The sequence below is a fragment of the Homo sapiens genome, chromosome 13, assembly GCF_000001405.40.
Source record: "Homo sapiens chromosome 13, GRCh38.p14 Primary Assembly".
NCBI classification, from domain to species: domain Eukaryota; kingdom Metazoa; phylum Chordata; class Mammalia; order Primates; family Hominidae; genus Homo; species Homo sapiens.
In genome coordinates this window covers 94,597,296-94,619,436 of record NC_000013.11, presented here as the reverse complement: position 1 = coordinate 94,619,436, position 22,141 = coordinate 94,597,296, and the positions used below count along the sequence as shown (strand labels likewise).

At 39.3% G+C, this 22,141-nt stretch overlaps 1 protein-coding gene and 1 pseudogene across 1 annotated transcript in view, besides 4 other annotated features; both read right to left on the bottom strand.

Moving 5' to 3' along the window:
- Positions 1-17,580, bottom strand: part of GPR180 (G protein-coupled receptor 180) — a 32,805-nt gene extending 15,225 nt beyond the window's left edge. The window contains exons 1-4 of the mRNA NM_180989.6: positions 17,365-17,580; positions 13,888-14,046; positions 7,047-7,247; positions 107-287 (exon numbers count right to left, since the gene is read on the bottom strand). Coding sequence (NP_851320.1) covers positions 107-287; positions 7,047-7,247; positions 13,888-14,046; positions 17,365-17,509 — 686 coding nt within the window. The 5' untranslated portion in view covers positions 17,510-17,580. The remainder of the gene's footprint in view (positions 1-106; positions 288-7,046; positions 7,248-13,887; positions 14,047-17,364) is intronic.
- On the bottom strand, positions 7,612-7,863 carry NDUFA3P5 (NADH:ubiquinone oxidoreductase subunit A3 pseudogene 5; annotated as a pseudogene).
- Positions 14,693-15,192: an enhancer, noted in NCBI's record as "H3K4me1 hESC enhancer chr13:95256499-95256998 (GRCh37/hg19 assembly coordinates)". NCBI's record gives its function as "activates a minimal SCP1, AML or CMV promoter by ChIP-STARR-seq in naive H9 embryonic stem cells {active_cell/tissue: H9 hESC(naive)}" and the evidence as "EXISTENCE:reporter gene assay evidence [ECO:0000049][PMID:30033119]".
- Positions 17,170-17,769: a silencer, noted in NCBI's record as "silent region_5435". NCBI's record gives its function as "represses an Ori minimal core promoter by ATAC-STARR-seq in GM12878 lymphoblastoid cells {active_cell/tissue: GM12878}" and the evidence as "EXISTENCE:reporter gene assay evidence [ECO:0000049][PMID:35858748]".
- Positions 17,170-17,842: a biological region, named in NCBI's record as "Sharpr-MPRA regulatory region 4462".
- Positions 17,548-17,842: an enhancer, noted in NCBI's record as "tiled region #4462; HepG2 Activating non-DNase unmatched - State 10:DNaseD, and K562 Activating DNase matched - State 5:Enh". NCBI's record gives its function as "activates a minimal TATA promoter and a strong SV40 promoter by Sharpr-MPRA in HepG2 and K562 cells {active_cell/tissue: HepG2 | K562}" and the evidence as "EXISTENCE:reporter gene assay evidence [ECO:0000049][PMID:27701403]".

The following is a 22,141-nucleotide window of genomic DNA, read 5'->3' as shown; positions in this document are numbered from 1 at the left end:
CAAATGTGAAAAAAATTGTTTATAATCAAAGCAAGCATAATTTTGGTGGACTAATTAGGATTAATTAGATGTAATGATGAACACAGTTTTAGTGGTTTTGAGTTACCTGGAGAAATGAATGTAATTAGCTAAAGCTGAACCAGCTTGTAACAGCAATGCAGTTGTCAGAACCTTTAAAATCATGTGCATGGGTCCGCCTTTCTTAATAGCCTGCCACAATGATTGAGCATAAATGCAAGCAATCACAAAGTACACTAGGACTAGGAGGAAAAAGAACTCATGTAACCCTGTGAAGAGAAGAAAGGGAGTTTGCTTCAGTAAAACAAAGCCAGTTATCGTATTGGGCTGCTTTCAAATCTCCCTGTCAATATATTTCTAGAACTTGTTTTTTAACTGGAGTCATAGCATTCACCTTTGTAAGAGAAAAAAAATTATTAAAACTTAAACAATTTTGTACCTTGGGGCAAAATTTTAACTACAAGAAAGCAGATTAAACCAAACTAGTTAAGGTCAATCTGTAAGAAAGCATAATGGTCAGGGGAACCCAAAGACTCATCATAAAATCACAGTTTTGTTTGAAAACAGTAAATGAAAATAATGATTTCAGCATTCAGTTAGATATACATTTTACCCCCAAAGTGAATTTCTTTTGTAAAAAGTTTAGAAATAGATTACCTCAGTCAATAACAGTTTAATATGCCCTGACAATGCATCTCAAAGTGTGTTCTCTTGCCCAGCAGCATCACCAGGGAATTTGTTATAAACGCAAATTCTTGAGTGCCATCCAGTTTTTGATCTATTGAATCAGAAACTCTGAGTAGAGCCCAGTAATCTGTGCTTTAGTAAGCCCTAAGCATGATTCTGATATAGCTAACACATGAGGACCACAGCTCTGGAATGTCCCAATACCTTGAATTTCCATTTGGACAAACCTTCAAAATATCTGTCATGTCCAGAGATATCTTCTGAGATAAACTGTCTGCAGCTCTTGCCAAAAAAAAAAAAAAAAAAAAAAATCCTGTGCTGATCATGCGACTCCATGCCAGGATTGGCTGAAAATTGTCTAACACCTAACCAAATGGCTACCAATGCAAGGGGCCAACAACGTAACAATTCTGAAAGCTAAGTTAGGCTAATCATCTTCTCTTAGTAGATCAAACTATAAAGCAGAAAGGAAAGAGGCCATAGAAATTGAAGTTGAAAGGAGCTGATGTTGGGACAGGCCAGACGAATCAAACTGAGCCATGATAAAAACCAAAGTTTTGAGGGAGTAGAAATTACAAGTGAGGAAAGACAGATGGCTGGCAAAGAACAAAGAATGTGCAGACTTTGTATTAAAAATGGAACCAGTCATTAGAGCAGCCTCTAGTGCCTACTAGCAGCTTTTTAGTACAGTCTTCATGTAACCTTATTATGTCACTTTTTCTGTGTTCACGTGCAATCTTTTGACTGAGTCTCCATTTTTCAGAAATTTCAGAAAATTTTTATAATAAAGCAGCAGGCTAGCTTTCAGTTTAACAGCTAACATTTACTTGCTTACATGTCAAGACAGTCCCTAATATTAAGGCTTTTACATTCTATCTAACACCAGACTGCTCTAACAGTGGTGTGAATAGAGCTGTCTTAATTGAGTCTATGGATGAACTTTCATTCCAATAGCGAACACCAAGCCTGCTCTAGTTTCCCATTCGGGTAAACTCCAATTAACAGTCAGAGAAGAAAATATTTCTATTATGTGGAAAATAATTTTGTAAAAGCAATCAGAAGACACAAATTATAAGAATCAATAAATAGCTCAATCAGGCTTTTGGCCTCGTTAGGGGGAAAAAAGCAGCAAAAAGTATTTCTGCCACTGGGTGTCTCTCCTGCTCTATGAATATAAATGTGGACAGTTAACTTTTCTAGTGCAGGTGAAAAAGCATGTTTAGACTTCAGGAAGGGAAAAGAAAGAACATATTTTCTTTTTAAACACCTTACATAGAAAAGCATTCCAGCCTTAGAAATAATGGCAACATAATCCTGGGATTATTATAGTACCGGAACAAGACAGAAAATAAAAATGCTAAATATATTATAACAACTGTGGGTCAGTAAAGTTCCTTATGCTATCCTGTGTTTTGAATCTTAGTTTTTATCTTTCCTTCTTAGTATTAAAAAATTAAACATGGCATTCAATTTAAAGTTTTATTTATTTATAATATTTTACAGAATATCTTTAAAGTTTCTGACTTACAGGATAAAGTTTCTGACTCCATGAAGTTACAACTCTACCATGAAAAGAAAATCCTCAGGTTATTTACTGAGGAATGAGAATAATATAGAAGGAAGGGACTCTGGAAAATAAGATATATGTCACCAGCAAAAAATGTCTTAGGATTATTCAAAGTTAATAATCTTCCAGAAAAAGCTAACATTATAACGAACACAAAAATTATTTCATTGACATAACATATTAAACAAATTGAACTGGGTCTGTCCCACACTTTATTCACTGAATTTTAGATGATTCTTCCCTTAAAACTGTACATAAAATGCTTAAAAGATAAAATGCTAGCTCTGCACTCAGTGTTCTTTTAAACAAATCATCTCTTTAAAAAAGTCTGTTTTCTTCCTCTCTTCAGCTACCAATTTTTTGTTTTGCCACAAGCAAAAATTGTTTGTTCACTTTGAAATTAAACTCAATTTGTGTTCACTTTGTTCACTTTGAAATTAAAATCTAATTTTAAAACAGGTGGATACTAATTGTTAAATCTTATTATACTTAAGACTTAATAATACACATGAAAAAAGTATACACTGAAGAAGAAAAATACTCTTAATGAGCATACAACAGGTGGTGAACACTTGTAAGGAAATGTGTAAGGTTTAAGGCAAGCTTAAAGGAAGCAGCATTGGCAAAATAAAGTAGCAAGAAAACTTAGAGGCCAGCTTCAATAAATTTAGCCCCAGCTAAATGATGGTAAATGAGAAAGGAGGAGAGCCTAAGGGGAAAGGGTCCTTGGGTTCTGGGGCAGCACCTGGAACAGACATTCCCGCCTCCCCATGATCCTTGTCTCAGAGCCCCAGTGGTCTCCCACACTCACGTGTCTCAAGATATATCCTGATTAGTCTAAATCAATCAGAAATTCCCATACTCTTACCAGTAGGAGGTAAACCTAACCCTTTTGACATATTTGTCTACTTTTATCTTCTTTCTTTCATGTCAACTTACATTTCTCTTATGATGCTATGACCCAGTTCTGAAAAAGGAAATGTGATAGGAAGCTTCTGGGAAAGACTTCCTTCCTCCTAAAAAGTGATACTGAATATTGCAATCATCTAGACATGATGCTCAGAACTGCCACAGCTAACTTTGAACTTGAGGCAGCTAGCTTAAGAACAACACTGATAGTCTGAGGATAGCAGGGTAGAGAGATGCTAAATAAACCACCCTGGAGAAGCCGCAAAACTTCTTGTTATGTAAGATAATTCATTTCATTACAGTCTACACCACTTGCATTAGGGTTTTCTGTTACTTTAAGCCAAAAACATTCCAACATGTTACCAGCAACACATTACTGAAGCTAAATGGAAGATCCAACCCATTGTCTTTTGGGACATGGAGGAAAAAAGGGATAACACTAAAGAATGAACATAGCTGCTAGAATTTTAAAAACAGTGAGATGGCAGATGTGGCAGAGCCTGTAGTATTATTCCAGTGAAAACCAGTCTATATGCGCCTTTAGGTAATAACACTCTCAGGATTCTGGGTACTTCTTGGTCTCTAATTAGAGTACAAATACAGTTAACAAGGATTCTAATCTTTTAAAGAAGCAGTTTTATTTCATTGTACCTTAAAATATTATAATCCTATTTAGTACTTTGTCAATCGGCATCACACTTGCCTGACTTTGTTTAATCTAGACCAACTCTGTAAAATAGAGGATTAACCAAAGTCTGGTAGATATAAAATACATAATTGGTTTGAAAGAAAACAAATTATGAAATTTAACCAGAATAACCTGTAACATTAATTGCAACTATCTGCACCAGGTTACTCTAATTCAAACCTCTGAGACATGTGGTAATAGTCAATTTTCTGTAAAAAGCATAGCAAATCAATTTTTCCTACTTGTAGCAGATAATTAGGCAAACTAGCAGAAGTTTCTAAAATGAATTGAACATTTTCCCTGTAAACAAATTCCATACCTGAGGCTACAAAGTAGGAAGAATCCCTCTTAAGGCTGTATTTTAAAACACATTACTAAAACAATGTGAAATATGGACTTTTAGATCAGCGGTTCTGTACATAAGAATCAACTTTAGAGCTTTAACTGGCTTCCACTCCAAACCAAATCTATCTGAGTCTCTGGGTGTGAATATCTGAATTTTTGTTTTAACCCTCATAACCTTAAACCAGATGCATACAGTGATGGGTTAAGAACCACTCATTGATACTTCAATGTAGAGTTATTCACAAAAGCTTTTAAGCATTTTAATCAATAAAATGATGTGATGTTTAGAGGAAGCCACATAACAAGGCTGGACGCTTTTGGATACTTCTGGCACTTTCTAATGATTAATCCCCGAAGGTAAGCCTTGCATAGAATGTCATGCTTAATGAAAATACATACGATTATAGTGAGGTTTTGCCCCTTGTTTAAACATTGTTGCTGACATACTCAATGTAACTTCCCCATTGTAGTATAAGAAAGACAGCTTTTAGACACAAGAGTAAGCATAAAATCAAAATCAGTCACAAAAATCAGGAAAAGGTAGGTCAGAAGGAGACAAAACTAAGAACTGAATCATAACGGTTAGTATGCATCATAAAGAAAAGCTAGCCACAACTCAAGATGTTGAGGAAAACACTGGAAGACATAGGCAAGGTTCAGGACAAGGCAAGGTATGACTGGGATTCAGAGGTCCAAGCATGGCACAGGGCACAAATGTGATCACTTTATAGCCTGGGATAAAAGTTTACATGCCAAATTGGTGATGAAGAAAAAGACCAAAAATGGAAGCCTGGATAAGGAGGCAAGTAAAAGCATATCAGGATCCAGAAAAGTCTCATGGATCTACTCAATACATAAAACCACCTTTTGAGCCAAAGGACTACAGCCTGGAAGGCAGGAGAGGAAGTGCTAATTGATCTGTACTCCACTAGAGGCAGCAGGGTTTGCACATGCAACAACTGCAGCAGAACATTACTTCCTAGTGAGCCTTGACCAGTCCTAAAAATAAGGGTCATATGAAATAATGAAGTCTTACAGTTAAAAAGGACCTGAAGGCTGTGTGCGGTGGCTCACGCCTGTAATCCCAGCACTTTGGGAGACCAAGGCAGGCAGATCACCTGAGGTCAGGAGTTCTGGCCAACATGGTGGAACCTCGTCTCTACTAAAAATACAAAAATTAGCCAGGTGTAGTGGTGGGTGCCTGTAGTCCCAGCTACTCAGGAGGCTGAGGCGGGAGAATTGCTTGAACCCGGGAGGCAGAGGTTGCGGTGGGCCGAGACTGCACCATTGCACTCCAGGCTGGGCGACAGGGCAAGCCTCTGTCTCAAAAAATAAAATTAAAAAAAAAAAAAAAAGGACCTGAGGAGCAATTTAGTCCAACCATCCATTCAATGCTCTTAGTAGACCTGGGTTCCATCAATGCCTTTCCAAAATACAGAAAAAAGTTGGCATCTTTAAAAAGATTAAGGAAATGAAAGGACTAAATTAACTTCCAATAATGATCTATACTAGTCGAAAGTATCATTAATGAAATTTAACCTTTACATTCATCTGCATTCAGAAACAATTTGAGTAGCTTACACTATTTCATTTCTTTCACAGAAAGAACTTCAAATTAACCACTTTAAAACATTTAGGGCCAAGTGCAGCGGCTCACGCCTGTAATCCCAACACCTTGGGAGGCCAAGGTGGGAGGATTGCTTGAACCCAGTAGTTTGAGACAACCTGGGCAACATAGCGAGACCCCGTCTCTAAAAAATAAAAATAAAAAAAATTAGCACACCATTCTATCACTAGATATATGTTTTTTCCAAACAAAGGATATTTTTAAAAAGTTTATCCCTTAAAACATTATTTGTGACCTACTGTCACAATTCTCAAGTTGCTTTTTTAGCTGTGACAAATTTACACTTTGAACTAAACAATCAGTTTAAGCTAATGTGGCCTCACTCCTGCCTCACCTCCACCCACCCCACTCTATGGCCAATGGGATACAATGGAATTAAATTTTTCTCTTAAGCAGATTGACTCTTTCAAACAGCCAATGAACTCATGAAGAGGTAAACCCTTAATGCTTTTCTTTGACAGATGGCCTACAAATCCTTACTCCAATATGTTAATTTACAAATCAGTTATACTTCATAGCATGTTCATCATGATCATAAGAAGTCATTCATTTCTGCTGGGGGTGGAATCTTACCTCAGTAGGACAGAACATAGTTACCTAACATTTTGATGAAATATTTCATATGAGTACATCTGATTCTGAGAAGTATTATGGACTCTGATCATCCCTAAATTGTTGTAAGCTTCAATGAAGGCAATCCCTAAATCTGTTCAAACAAGCTAGTACAGAGTTACCCATACAAAGTAGCTGAGTTTCTAATCTCATTTAATCATTAACAATTTAAATTGTTTAATTTGTTACCATTTTTCTGTTTATAAAAATAATGCAAGGTTATCATAAAAACAAAAATGTTTAGAATGTATAAACTATAAACTACACAAGTTGTTTCCTGTCTGGAGCCAAAACAAACAAGCAAACAAACAAAACTATACAATTCTACCAACCCAGAGTATCAAAATAATCTATTAATATTTTTGTGCTTCTTTCTGTTTTATTCTTTGCAGGTTTTAATACACTCAAGTAATACTCTGCTTTTAAAAATTAATATGATGGCTATCAAAATGCTATAAGAAGATTAATTTAACCATTTCTCTAGTTTTGGAAACACAGGTTGCTTTCATTTTTGATTTTAAAAATACAACATGAATATATTTGTACATAAATCTTTTCCTGAATTTAGGATATATTCAAATACATATTCTTACCAGATTCTCCAGCACTAAAATGATCAAATGGATTCCCTTCGGCATCTGGGTTTAGTAACACCATTTCAAATGGGATATCTTCCACCTGAGAATTCTCCTTGTCATCTTGGCATGTATACTTGTCTGCATAAAACACATGCCACGTTTGTGGAGACGGAATCTGGGACACTGTCAGATTATGTTCGGTCTGGTTCATGGTCACTTTAAAGAGAAAGAAAACACCTTTTGTAACAAAATTCTCAAATGTGTTTCACTGTTTTAGTCATATAATCAATTTGAGGTTAGGACAATCTTTTAATTTTTATTGTCTCAGAAATCCAAGACCTTGTGTAGTATTTGGAATAAGTCTTGTAAACCAGATATTTATAGAATAAATCAGAATTTATCTGCAAAGGAGATAAAAATGATGTTTTTAACCAAGGAATCACTATAAAAGTATGACTATAAAACACCACAAGTAGAATGGCTTCACTGAAACTCTGAATTCTTTTTTTTTTTTTTCTTTTTGGTTTTCACATTCGTATTGGGAGCGATGGGAGGGGCCTCCTCTGTCAGTGGAGGTGCTCAGTTTCTTCAGCCACTCCAAGCTGGAGCTCTGGGGATCCTGGGGGTGGCCGGGCACATTGGTCATGTTCCCATCATTGCGGACGGGCAATGGGTAGTTGTAGGGCATGGTCTCGTAGATCATGATGAAGTACTTGGTGTAGGGGCTGAGTGGGGGCAGAATTACAGCTAGGCTACCAATGATGAAGGACACAACCAGCACTGGCTCCCTGGCCCAGGCATTCTTGAGGAAAGTGCCAAGTCTCGCCACCATCTTGGTCTCGGCGGCTGAAACTTTGAATTTTGATTTTCGATATTTTCACAGTTTCCGGGTTGGTTAATGACATTCAAAAAAATTATTGTGGTAAAATATACACAATGCTAAATGTATCATTTTAACCATTTTTAAGTGTACAGTCTATGGCATTAAGCACATCTACAATGCTGTGCAACAATCACAGTGACATTTTTGAAGATTACTCGAGTTAAATTTAAAATGGAGCATTCAACTTACAAAATCATTATATCTAAAAACTATGTATTTTCAAAAGATTTTCCAAAATCTTTTTCTGATTGGTTGTTCTTTAAAGGTGTACAAAAAGCAGAAAAAATAGAAATTACAGGAATGCAGAAGTTATTATACTGGATCAGGTCCACATGAAGTAGTATGATACAGTCAGGGGTGGGGGGTGTGTGGCATCATTCAGATGTATGTTTGAATCCTGGCTTCAATACTTACCTGTTGTGTGACCTTGGGTAAGTTACATAAGCAATGACACTCACTTTCTTCATCTGTAAAATGAAGATACTACCTACAGCAAAGGGCTGATATAAGCACTAAGTTATTTGAGTCACCTAGCATGGTAACTGTCACAGAGTAGTTGCTAAATGTCAATTCTGCTTTTCCTTTCTTTAAAACAAGGTAGTTATATTAGTAAGTGGTTCTCAATCCAGGGTAATCTCCTTTCCTCCAGGGCATCTGAAAATGTGAGGGGATAGTTTTTTGTCACAATAGCTGGTTAGATACTTGGAGGGGGGCTGTGTTGAACCTCATGCAAAGAATTATTCCCCCTAAAATGCCAACGGCACTCCCTTCTGAGAAACACAAAATGATGTCTAAGATTCCTTCTGGACCTAAAACTATTAGGTTGGTGCAAAAGTAATTGCGGTTTCTGAATCTGACCTGACCTAAGAGGCACTGACTAACACTAACACGAAGCTGCCTAGGAGAGGAGTGTCTCAAGTTCTGGGTGTAACAAAAAGAGTAGAGTTAGAAGAGCGAGTCTTGGCCTTGCGACTCAGCAAATAAATTTACAAACTCTCTAAATTTGTTTCTTCAATAGTCAAATAAAGATACCTGCCCTGCTAGTGCAGAGTTCTTGTGAGGGGCAAATGAAAAGTATATGGAAAGAGCATGATTCTACACAAAGTATTTTTAAAACAGTATTATGATGGACCCAATTCCCAACTCTAGATTGCACCCAAAACATGTCAATATTTAAGGACAAATTAGTCTTAATCTTTTTCTCAATTGTAGAAAAAAACATTTTTAATAAATAAAAGACATTTCTTGAGGTAACTAGAAATGTATGTATGGAATAGATTTCAGAGGACATTATAGAATTACTCATTTTCTTAGGTGTATGATAGTTAAACAGATGAATTTCTTTACTCTTAGAAGATGTATGCTTAGGTATGGTGGGGCAAACTGTGATACCTGCTGCTTATTTTCACATGGTTCAATTAAAACAAAAATCACATACATATAGACATAAAGCAAATTTAACAAAATATTAACAATTATTGAGTCTAAGCAGAGGATATATGGATGCTGGTTGTACTATAATTTCAACCTTTCTGTATGTTGGGAAATTTTCCTAGTGGAAAGTTGGAAAAATGTTATTTATAGGTTGTCTTTAGGAATGAGATACAGATGTAGTCAGGATTTGAATTTTGAGGACTTGGACTGTACAACTGGGAATTTCGTTCATTGGTGGTTAAATTGAACAAGAGGATCTGATTACCACCACCATGGCATTGCTTTTTGGCTACTATAAGTTAGCTGACATTTAAACTACCTTTAAAAAAAAAAAAACACACATACAGTTTCTGGAAAAATGTAGCAAAGACTCTAGTTTCTGTTAAATATTGGAAGACTTTTAGTAAGAATTTAATATATGATCAATAAATGATTCACAAATAAGACTGTTTAAATGTGCAATTTGCAATTATATAATCCGGACCTCATTATATAAAGGCTCTGCTGTGTTGCCATTTTTATCATTTGCCCTTTTTCTCTTAGATAAAATATAAAAAAAACCCACACTTTTACCAATATATTTTTGATGTTTCATTTTAAATTATGTGGATTTACTTCAAACAGAAATAAAAGTATGCTTCATAAAGTGATACCGGCCTTTAGTTTTTGTCTTGCTGTCTTTTCGGCAAGGCTGGGAAACAAGCCTCTTGACAAAACTGTGTGTTCATTGTTTCTGAGACAAAAGACTACAACACAGCATGCATATTCTATGCTGGTGTAATTAGTACCTCAAATATTAACAAAACTTGAACTGCTGAGAATGGTGTTGAATAGCTAATTATCCAATCATATTATAAAAGGATTTGAATACTGTTAACCAAAACACACAATAAAATACTAACACCTTTAAATGATTTATAAAATATACCAAACTACAAAAGGAATCATATGCATAATATGTAAAAAGACAACACTGAAATGTTTTATATACAATATTACATTTAGCTCTTGTAATCTGATAGAAAATTCCTCCGAATCTCCTCGTTAAGTTTTAGATAGAAATACATAAACTCATCATTTTCAGTGCTTTCAAATGTCTTGTTTGCTTGCTTTAAAAATCTACAAAATAGTTTTTAGTATTTTTTAAATCAGATTTTTATGACAGAACAAAGAGATGACTGAAAAATAATTTTTCAAACATTAATTTGGGAGAGTCAAGCAACATTCAACACTAAGATTTTTCTAATCTGCTAGTCTTTTCATAGTACACAGCAGCAGCAAGGTTTTACGTAGGAGCTGGGCAGAGTTACTGAGTTCATTACCAAATAGGTGAAAGGCTGTTAACTCTTAAGTCTCATTAATAGCTAAGAAAAGCACTTGCTATAAGGAACTATTCTTAAATATGTGTTACTATTACATCATGAATTTAAGGATATGCTTTTTGTTTAAATGTACCTAAGCTCCTAAATAACATACCATAAATATGACAATATATAAAAGTTAGAGACTTAAGATTTGGATTTTGTTATTGGAAAAAAAAATTGGTGAAGTACATATATGTAGAAATCAGTATTAAATTTATTTTAAGCCCCAAAATTTGACAAAACAACCTTCATTCCTCTAAAATTCCTGTTACCTGTTATCTTCCATTCCACAATTTCAAAATATACCTCTGCACTTAACAGAACAGGGAAAAGAAAGAGAAACTAGAAAAAGAAACAACAGCAGAAGGTTTTGTTAAGTTGTAGTCCTATACATAAGTAACTCCATCCTTAAGAGTTATAACGAGAATGGCAGCATTTTGGAACTATCATGAACCTTAGGGACACCTAGTCCAACTTGCTTGTTGTACAGATAAGTAAAATGAGGTTCAAAGATAACGAGTTCTTGTTATAAATCACTAGCAGTGATACTCAGTTTTATGGTCTTCCCATTGCACCACACTGTCTCCCTGTATACAGAAGTTCTGGGAATACAGGAATATGACTCATACGAAAATGAGGTTTTTAAGTGTATAAAGTATATAAATACTGACTATGTGATACAAGAGAACAAATCAATATTCCTATAGCTCAAAGCTTTAAACTGCCTAGTAAGTTTTTGTTGGAGATAGAAAAAGTCTTTGAGATGCCAAACACAAAAAGCTAACAACCAGCCAAACAACAAGCCCTTAAGCATGAAGGTCTACGACTATTCATTCTACAAATACTTAGTAAAAACTTAACTAAGCACCGGGGTATCATCAATTCTCATTCTCATAGTGCCATATAATTAGCATTCATAGTACTTATCAAAATTGCAATTTTACATTTATTCACATTCATCTGATTCATTCTGGTCACCTCCACCAGCCTTAAGGACATTTTGGTCACTGATCTATCAACAGTACCTAGCAGTACATGAAACAGTGGAAGCGCTCAGTGAATGAACACACCAGAAGAGCCCTACTGCTCTCATTGACTGATTTTATAACAAATAAATAAAATGTAAAGTGGTAACTATAGTAAGTGCTATGCAGGAAAGCAAGAGGCTATAAAAACTTAGGTGTTAACTTAATCGACGGAGGAGCCAGAGGGGAGGCTGAAGAGGAAAAAGCCTATGCAAAGGCTCAGAGTAGCACTGAAATAAAATGCAGTGAGTGGGGCAATGCCCTGAGATGAAACGGAGAGGTAAGCAGCAGCCAGTCTACAATGGCTTTGCTGGTCAGGTTAAGGAGGCCCGGTCAGGTTAAGGGAAACCATTTATTTTAAGGGTGTGGTAAAGAAGTGAATGTAACATGACCAAATCTGCTATTTAGAAAGATCTAGTTACAGAAGGGGGACCAGCATGGCTATAAAATAACCACGTAGGAGACTGTCGAAATAGCAAAGGCAAGATGAATTCAAGAGATATTTAAAAGTAAAACCTCAAGACTTAACTGATGTATGAGGGGGTAGAAAGGTCAAAGAGGGGAGTATTAGAAGACACCTTGGTTTCTCAACTGTTTACTGGATGGATGGTGGTGCCAATTCTTAAAACAGGGAACATCAGAAGAGGACCAGGTCTGGATGGGGAAGATGGTGAGTTCAGTTTAGACGCCAGAGGAATTGGGAACTGAAGGACATGACCTTTTACACATATGTGCAACACTTAGATGAGCAAACTGGCAGAGAAAGGAAGAGACAACCAATCAAGAGAATCTGCATGTATTTCCCAGATAAGTTTTGAATTCAGGGTCAAAGTAAATAATTGTATGTAATTGTCATTCATCTTTAGGATACTATCTTCTCACAATATCATCTCACAAATCTACATTAAAGATCCCCACAATGGGTGGCAAGGACTGGGGACCTCTGCTCTTTTCACTGATCTAGCTAGTTGCCTTATGAGGGAATCAGACAGCTGATAAGATAAAAGCCAGATGTTTAGAAATGAATGCTTCACTAGAATAGGCTAAGAGAAGAGACTACCATGTTCCATATATGGATGAGTCCCTGAATAATAAGAGGAAAAAGGGAAGAATAATTCCCATTTTTCCTCATGGATGCTTCAAATTTCTAATGTCTTCTACACCTAATTAACTTGCGAGGTGCAAAATGGAAACAATGGCACATGTTCTTCATTTCCGTATTTAAAAAAATTTTCACTCACTCTGGATGGCTAGCAACCTAATGCACAGGACAATGTTGATGAGAATGAATGGGATCACGGATTTAAGCCACTAGATTAGGATTTAAAAAGTACAGCCTCTCTAGAGGCAAATCCAGAAGTATACAAATGATGTGGTGGTGGTACATCTCAAAGTGACTTTTTTGAGACAAAGTCTCACTCTGTCGCCCAGGCTGGAGTACAGTGGTATGATCTTGGCTCACTGCAACCTCTGCCTCCCAGGTTCAAGCAATTCTCATGCCTCAGCCTGCCAAGTAGCTGGGATTACAGGCGCATGCCATCACACCTGTCTAATTTTTTTCTGTATTTTTAGTAGAGACGGGGTTTCACCATGTTGGCCAGGCTGGTCTCAAACTCCCAACCTCAGGTGATCCACCCACCTTGGCCTCCCCAAGTGCTGAGATTACAGGCCTGAGCCACTGCACCTGGCTGTCAAAGTGACATATTTTATACCATATAACTAAGTCTCATGTTCAAATGACATGTTGTGAAACAGCATCACTCAAGCTAAATTACCCAATTAACTAAGATAATACATTGGCATTTAGCTCAGTGCTGGCAGATAATTAGCATTCAACAAATGTTACCATTCATTCCATGCTGCCACTGGGTCAAAATATAGTTTCCATATTGGCATAAATTATGCAAACTGTAAAGAGTCAATGAAAGAAAGGACTCCTATATAAATTATCTGGATTTTTTTTTCAAAAACGATGAATGATAAAAAGGGAAAGGCACTGTTAAAACTCAGCTTAAAATGTACTAGACAAAGTGTCATCACAGTGGGATTATGCTGTCAGGAAACATAACATATGTACATATGGTACTATATTTCAACATTAGGAGGAAAAAAACTATATCTAATGATCAAAGAAAAAAGGATATACTCACTTGTCAACTGAGCTTTGGATAATTTTTCACTACAGCTATAACCATGACTGCTTTGCTGTAGCTTTAGCCATTCCTGGGCTTGGAACAGGTAGAGTTTAGCTTCTTTTCCAACAGCTACTGCTATGTTGTTGATTCTGACACACAGAAGAGCATGGTCACCTTGACATTAAAACAAAAATCATCAACTAGTTTGGTCTTACATGAAACTGAGACATGAGGACAACTCAACACCTCTACTTACCAAAATGGAAATTTAAAAAGCACAATTCTTCTTAAATCTCGCTTAACTAGGTAAATCACATCATAATGAACACAACATTCAGAAGCAAGAGATTATTCAAATGAACGTGTGGTATTTCCTTGAAATTCAGCTGATAACTGATATTTCACTCAATAAACCGCAATATCTGGGGTATTTGAACAATTCACTGTATTAAAATTTTTGCCTCACTTTACAACCACTTCACATTTTATATTTTATTCATAATCTATAGAAATGTCCCACCAAAGTTTCTGTTTTTTAATATGACATAGGTGTTAATATTTAATTATACTCTTAATATAAAAAATAAACATAGCTAATAGCAGGAAAGTTTAAATGTATGTGTTCTGGGGTAGACATATTATACCTAAAACAAAATTTGGTATCTACGACTTTTACAAAAGAACTTTCAGGGGCTGGGCACAGTGGCCACACCCGTAATCCCAGCACTTTAGAAGGCCAAGGTGGGTGGATTCCCAGCCCAAGAGTTTGAGACCAGCCTGGGAAACAAAGTGAGATCCTGTTGCTATTTAAAAAAAAAAAAAATTAGCTGGGCTTGGTGGCTGAGCCTGTAGTCTCAGCTATTCAGAAGGCTGAGATGGGAGGATGGCTTTAGCCTAGGAGTCTGAGGCTGCAGTCAGCTTTGATTACACCACTGCACTCCAGTCTGGGTGACAGAGCAAAACTCTTTTTTTTTTGAGACAGAGTGTTACTCTGTCACTCAGGCTGGAGTGCAGTGGCGCAATCTCGGCTCACTGCAACCTCCACCTCCCAGGTTCAAGCGATTCTCCTGATTCTCCTGCCTCAGCTTCCTGAGTAGGAGTAGCTGGGATTACAGGCATGCGCCTCCACACCCAGCATCACCACATCCAGCTAATTTTTGTATTTTTAGTAGAGACAGCGTTTCACCATGTTGGCCAGGTTGGTCTTTTTTTTTTTTTTTAATTTATTTTTGAGACATATTCTCGCCCTATTGCCCAGGCTGGAGTGCAATGGCACGATCTCAGCTAACTGCAACCTCCGCCTCCCCGGTTCAAGCGATTCTCCTGCCTCACCCTCCCAAAATAGCTGGGATTACAGGCACCTGCCATCATGCCTGGCTAATTTTTATATTTTTATAGAGACGGGGTTTCACCATGATGGCTAGGCTGGTCTTTAACTCCTGACCTCAGGTGATCCACCCACCTCAGCCTCCCAAAGTGCTGGGATTACAGGTGTGAGCCACCACGCCCAGCCACCAGGTTGGTATTGAACTCCTGACCTCAAGTGATCTGCCCACCTCTGCCTCCCAAAGTGGTGGGATTACAGGCAGGAGCCACCCAACGAGTCTGGCTTCCTTTTTAAAAAAAAAGAACTTTCAGAATAATATATGTTGTAAGATGAATACAGAATGAACCTGGTTGCACACACCAACTACATTTAAGGCCCAGAACAGAAATGGCAGTAAGTTATTGCCTCTAGGGAAAGGGATTCTGGGTGAAAGAGCTAAGACAGGAGACTGTTTTTCATTTTAAGATCTTCTATTCTCCTGGAAATTTTTTTTCTATGCTTTTATTACTATAATTACCACTTTGATTAAACATTTTAAATATATTTAAATATACAGTATATATATCAAAGAATGTGCAAGTCTCTTACATAAATTGATTACATATTTTGAAGTCTTACAAGTGACTCTGAGGCCCAATTGACACTGTAAATTGCATTCCGAGTTACAGTTCATTGTTTCAGTATAGTTTTTGTATTATTATTTTACTGAATTGGGATTCATGAAAATTGGTAATAACTATATGTGATTTTACACATATGAAACAGAATGAACGCACTTGAAACACCTTATCCCCAATCTGTCTTGAGAAATCTGAATTTAGTACATGTTTCTCCTCCACGTTTACCAGATGATCATCAGGAACTATGAGGTCGTCCAAGTCTCTCTGCTGGTCCTAAGTAATAACCCACGTCTTCTATACATCCCACATTTTCCAACACTGTCCACATTGTGCCATTTAAGACAGTGGCTGTCAATACTCAAAGTATGGTTACAGTCCGTTGAATGAGAAACTCAAAATGTTACAAAAAATAATAAAATTGTTTCTAGTGTTTCTTCTTCATTCACCCAAAATATATTCCACATTGGATTTTGAAAAACTGGGTTACTGAAACTCCTTTTCTTAGCTATCTTAAAAACTTCAAAAAAAAAAAAAATCAGGATCCCTTCCCTTTATTCTGTCAATTCTGTAATTTCCCAATACTTTAAATTCCTTTTCTCACCAAAGTAGTTCCGTTTCTATTATCTTCTCCTAACAATATTTTCTAGGCCAATATTCTGATGTTCATCGTTGCATCTTTTAATGCTAAAGACTGTACAAATCAAAGTTCCTAATGTCATCAAGGCAAATAATTATTTGAAATACAGCACTAGTCAAATTAAGAGTACCAAGAAAAACACTTAAATTGTGAGAGTGCAAATGAGACCAAAATTAGAATGAATTGCAAATGCATTTATTGAAGGAATAATTACTGATTTTTGAGGAAGACCAAAAGGTCTGAAATCAAACGCAACTCTGATTTCAGAAGAGCCACACAGAACACAAATTAGGGAGCTTCCAAGATGCTACTTAAATGCATTTTCATCAGCTTAATTCTAGGCCTTACTGCCCATAGTAAATCTACTGCCCTAGTAGCCAAGTAACCAAACTGCTCAATATAACAACTACATTATCAAGTGTTTTACTTGGTTTCCAAAACCACTCTGTTGCAAGTAGGTCTCAGGAAATTGGTCTTTAAAAAAAAAAAAAAAAAAAAGGAAATTTAAGTTTCTAGGGTTAAATTCTCCCGTCACAGTGTGGCCGAGACAGGAAGGAGCAAATATGCTTCTTTGCGGGAAGGATCTGGAAAGATGCGGCCGACCAGTCTTTTGCACATTGGCTTCCAAGGGGAGGGTTGGGGAAATGGAAACCAGCTTTCAGGTGCGGAACACGATCACTAGTGGCGAGAGGCCGCTGCCTGGGGCTGGAAAGCCGCACCAGCGGGGTTGGCAAGGAACGCATCCCACCATTCGCGGCAGCTGCTGCAACGCTGGAGGTCCAGGTGAGGCTGGGGAAGTCGCCGGCCTCGCCCAACGTGGCAGGGAGGGGCCGGGAGGAGCGGCCGGCGGACTCAGCCGGCGGGATGGGCCAGCGCGCCTTCATCCCCCTCCCCGCCCCCAGACCTACCATGGAACTCGAAGTGGCCGATGCGCTGGCCCTGGGCGTCCTGGGCCGCGGTGCTGCTGAAGCTGCCCCGCAGGGTCTTACCCTGGCTGCCCTGCGGCCACCAGCAGCACGTGAGGGCCACAGCCAGCAGCCGCAGCCCCCCCATGCCCGTCTCCAGGTCTGCACCGACGCCTCGGCTCCCAGCCGCCGGCGGCTGCCCGCCCCACGTCGGCAGCTGGGGGAGGCGGGGTGGGCGCCGGAGACCTGCTGCTCTGGAGCCTGAGAGCCAATGAGGCGGGCTCCTCTGCCATAAGCCGAAGACATTCACCAGTCAGAGGCCGAAATGGGCGGGACGCGCAGATCCTAGCGTCCCATCAGTCCCCGGCTTTTGACTAGTTCCCGCCTTTTTCTTTAATGAGGAATCAGGAGGATGTTGCTTCAGGTTACGGAAAACTCATCTCCCTCCTCATTGCCTAGCACGTCTTGCTACTGAGCATGCGCGGGCGCGCTGGCACGAGTCCGCGGGGCCTTCGAAGGGCTTGTGGGATTCGGAAAAAACTTAAGAAATGCAGGACAGGACTGTTTCTGGCCGAGAGAGTTAAACTCCCGCAAAGAAAAAACTGTGTTCTTATGCAGATTTTCTTCCTTGGCGCCTGTATAACCTACAGGACGTGTCCGATTTAATGTCTCAAAGACACTTAGCTCCGCATGACCACAATTTAACGCATGCCTTCTCTTGGCATCTCCAGCCGATTTTTCCCTCCTAGGTTCTCTGGCTTCTCGAATTACATTACCCCCACCCCCACCCCCGCCCGCAGACCAGACCGCTGGGAATTGTAGGCCCCCCCCCCCCCGCAATTCAATCAATTCAATAACAAGTGTGGATTAGCCCTTCTTCTGGTGAGGGTGGGAAGCAGCGGCCACAGTCCTACTCAGTTCATCACTTTGTTGGCCTATGGCAAAGACCGTCTCTACAGTCTTCATTCTAATTGGCTACAATCCATCTCTACCCTACAGCCACAGAAAGCTGTAGGAAACAATTTGCTGCACTTGCCTTGAAAGGTTCTCAATTGCCTTTAGCACACAACCCAAACTCTAGAATATGGCTCTTCAACTCTCAAATGTCTGTTTTTTCTCATCTCCATCCTTACCGCCGTTGGTTTCCTGAACACTCCCAAGTTCTCCCTTCTAGGCCTATATCACTCCCTGATCCCTCTGGCTAGAATACTTCTGCTTATTCCAACACTGGACCTCCTCACCTTCCTTTTCCTCCTTTACTCCTCCTTCCCAAGGCACTTTAAGAAGCCTTTCTCAAACCCCTAAGTCTGTAGTAGATGCCCCTGGAACCAGAATCCCTTACTTCCCTACCAGAGCACTCACGCACTGTACTGTAAGTATCCATTCATGTGTCTGAAATCTCCGCCTCTATTGTCAGCTCCAGCTGGTCAGTGACTACACTTTTTTTTTTTTTGAGACGGAGTTTCACTCTTGTTGCTCAGACTGGAGTGCAATGGCGCGATCTCGGCTCACCTCAACCTCTGCCTCCCGGATTCAAGCGATTATCCCACCTCAGCCTCCCGAGAAGCTGGGACTGCAGGCATGCGCCACCATGCCCGACTAATTTTTTATTTTTAGTAGAGATGGGATTTCTCCATGTTGATCAGACTGGTCCCAAACTCCCGACCTCAGGTGATCTGCCCGCCTTGGCCTCCCAAAGTGCTGGGATTACAGGCGTAAGCCACCTTGCTGGCTATACCTGTCTTAATGAAAGTGAGGCAGGAGAATAGGGCCTGGGGTGAGGGAACCTAAGGCGTTTTTACACCGACTTTCTAGAACTATTAAAGGAAAACCCTAACTTTCCACCCTAAGTAACAAAAGGACCAGAGGCTATGCCCTTTGCAAATCCCCACCTTTTCTGTGAGGCAGATAAGAAATTGGCTGTCCCTACCCAGTCAGACTGATTGCCAGCTGAGTCTTCGTTTGCATAGAAGTGCAACTTTGTAACTCTGTAACATTGCTTTTTGCAACCAATCAGATGTTTGCACAGGAGTGTGACCTTTGTAACTCCACTTCAGCCTCTGATTCATTGCTTTCCCCAAGAATCAGACCTATTGGGGGCCACCACTTCATTTATATGAGGTGAGCTCCAAGTGGCCAATGGGAAACTTCTAGGGAGTATTTGGACCCAAGATGATTATGTGTCCAGGCCCTTCTGCGCTGTGTAGTTGCATTTTCTTTTTTTGAGACAGAGTATCACTCTGTCACTCAGGCTGGAGTGCAGTGGCACAATCTCGGCTCACTGCAACCTCCGCCTCCCAGGTTCAAGTGATTCTCCTGCCTCAGCTTCCAGCTGGAATTACAGGTGCACACCACCACACCTGGCTAATTTTGGATTTTTAGCAGAGACGGGGTTTCACTATGTCGACCAGGCTGGTCTCGAACTCCTGACCTCAAGAGATCCACCCACCTTGGCCTCCCAAAGTGCTGGGATTACAGGTGTGAGCCATCACGCCCGGCCATGTACTTTCATTTTCAATAAATCCCTGCTTTCGTTCTTTCGTTGCTTCATTCTTTTGTTGCTTCATTCTTGCCTTGCTTTGCTGTGCATTTTGTCCAATTCTTTGTTCAAAATGCCAAGAAACTGGACAACTTGCAGTCAAGACCCTCCACTGGTAACAAAAGTAGGAGCTCAAAATTATTTCATGAATAAATGTATATAAATTATTTTCATTTAACAACAAGCTTCTATAACATATAAGGAAGTTCTCATAACAGACCTCATCATTTAGAAAAAAAAAATATTGAGGAACCACCTCCTACCATATACACAGCATTTTCAGTATTTCTGGCTGACCAGGAATATGCTGGAAGTATTAATATTTTCGGATTTTTTAAAAAAAAACTGCGGCCGGGCGCGGTGGCTCACGCCTGTAATCCCAGCACTTTGGGAGGCCAAGGCGGGTGGATCATGAGGTCAGGAGATCGAGACCATCCTGGCTAACAAGGTGAAACCCCGTCTCTACTAAAAATACAAAAAATTAGCCGGGCGCGGTGGCGGGCGCCTGTAGTCCCAGCTACTGGGGAGGCTGAGGCAGGAGAATGGCGTGAACCCGGGAAGCGGAGCTTGCAGTGAGCCGAGATTGCGCCACTGCAGTCCGCAGTCCGGCCTGGGCGACAGAGCGAGACTCCGTCTCAAAAAAAAAAAAAAAAAAAAAAAAAAAAACTGCAAGGATTCTTTATTATGCAAGTAATCCATGTGTCTCAGAAAAAAATTCACAGTCAAAAGTATATAAAGTGGGCTGGGCGCAGTGGCTCACGTCTGTAATCCCAGCACTTTGGGAAGTGAGGTGGGTGGATCACCTGAGGTCAGGAGTTCAAGACCAGCCTGGCCAACATGGTGAAAACTCATCTCTACTAAAAATACAAAAACTAGCCAGGTGTGGTAGCATGCGCCTGTAATCCCAGCTACTTGGAGGCTGAGATGGGAGAATCGCTTGAACCTGGGAAGCAGAGGTTGCAGTGAGTCAAGATTGTGGCACTGCACTCCAGGCTGGGCAACAGAGCGAGACTGTCTCAAAAAAACAAAAGTATATAAAGTAAAAATTAAACTCCCCATTTCCTCCTTTCCCTGCCCATATCTCATCCCTAAAGGTAACTTATTTTAAGAGTTTAGGGTCAATCCTTTCAAGTAAGCCACAAATACCACAAATATATGTGGTATTACAAATACCACAAATATATGTGGTATTTGTAAACCAAGGACAGGAATAAAACTGGTCCTGAAGAGAAATCATAACACAGGCCTTGAATGTTAGGCCTTTCCTATCTTTTCTTTCTTCTCAATCAACTTTGTTTTTCTCACTGTGAAGACAGGCTTTCTGGCTCCTCACTTTGAAAGAACATGGCCACCAAAAAGTTCCAGCTTTGTAGGACCTCAGAGTTCAAGTAGAGTAACCAGACTATACTAGCACCTTAGTCGAATTCTAAATCCCAAGAAGAGGCTTCAGTTGGCCTAGAGTCAGCCAGATTTCATTCTGTGGCCTGCCTGGGTCAACTTGGGGAGATCATAAAGGACAGTGGGGGGAGGAGTCTGGTCAGAAAAAAACTGTACGTATCGACTGCAATATATTTTGGTCTTCATTCCATGTTGGTATATTCTTTTTAAAGGCTATATAGCAGTTTACTGCATTTTAAAAGTTAGAAGACATTATACACATTTAGATTATTTCCAGTGTTTCATTATTGCAAGCAATACAGCAATGAACAATTATCTATATTATACATCATGGAATTTGAGGGGGTCATAGAATATGAACATTTGAAATTTTCATATGTTTTACCACTTTGCCTTGTAAAAAGGTTGTGGTATGATTCTTCCACATATACACCTGTACTGGATGTTTCCATTCGTTTTCAGCTTTGCCAAACATTATGGTGGGGAAAAAAAGATATTTATCTATTCGACAATATTTAATGGTCATTTATTCTGTGCCAAGTCTCTAAGGACATGCGATTACAGCAGAAAACAAAACAAAGCCCCTGACCTCATGGAACACTAAACAGAGGGCAGTGACATCAATGTAAATGTTGAGTGCTAGGAAGAAAAATAAAGAAGGATAAGATGATTCGGCAGGGTTGGGCAGAGCTCGCTATTTTAATTGTGGTGGTCAATAGGATGCCATTCAAGCTGAAAACGGAAGTAAGGGTAAAAACTAGGCAGACATCTGGGGAAAGACAATCAAGGTCCCGGGGAAGTAGCATGCCTGGCACATTGAATGAAGAGCAAGGAGGGTGGGGA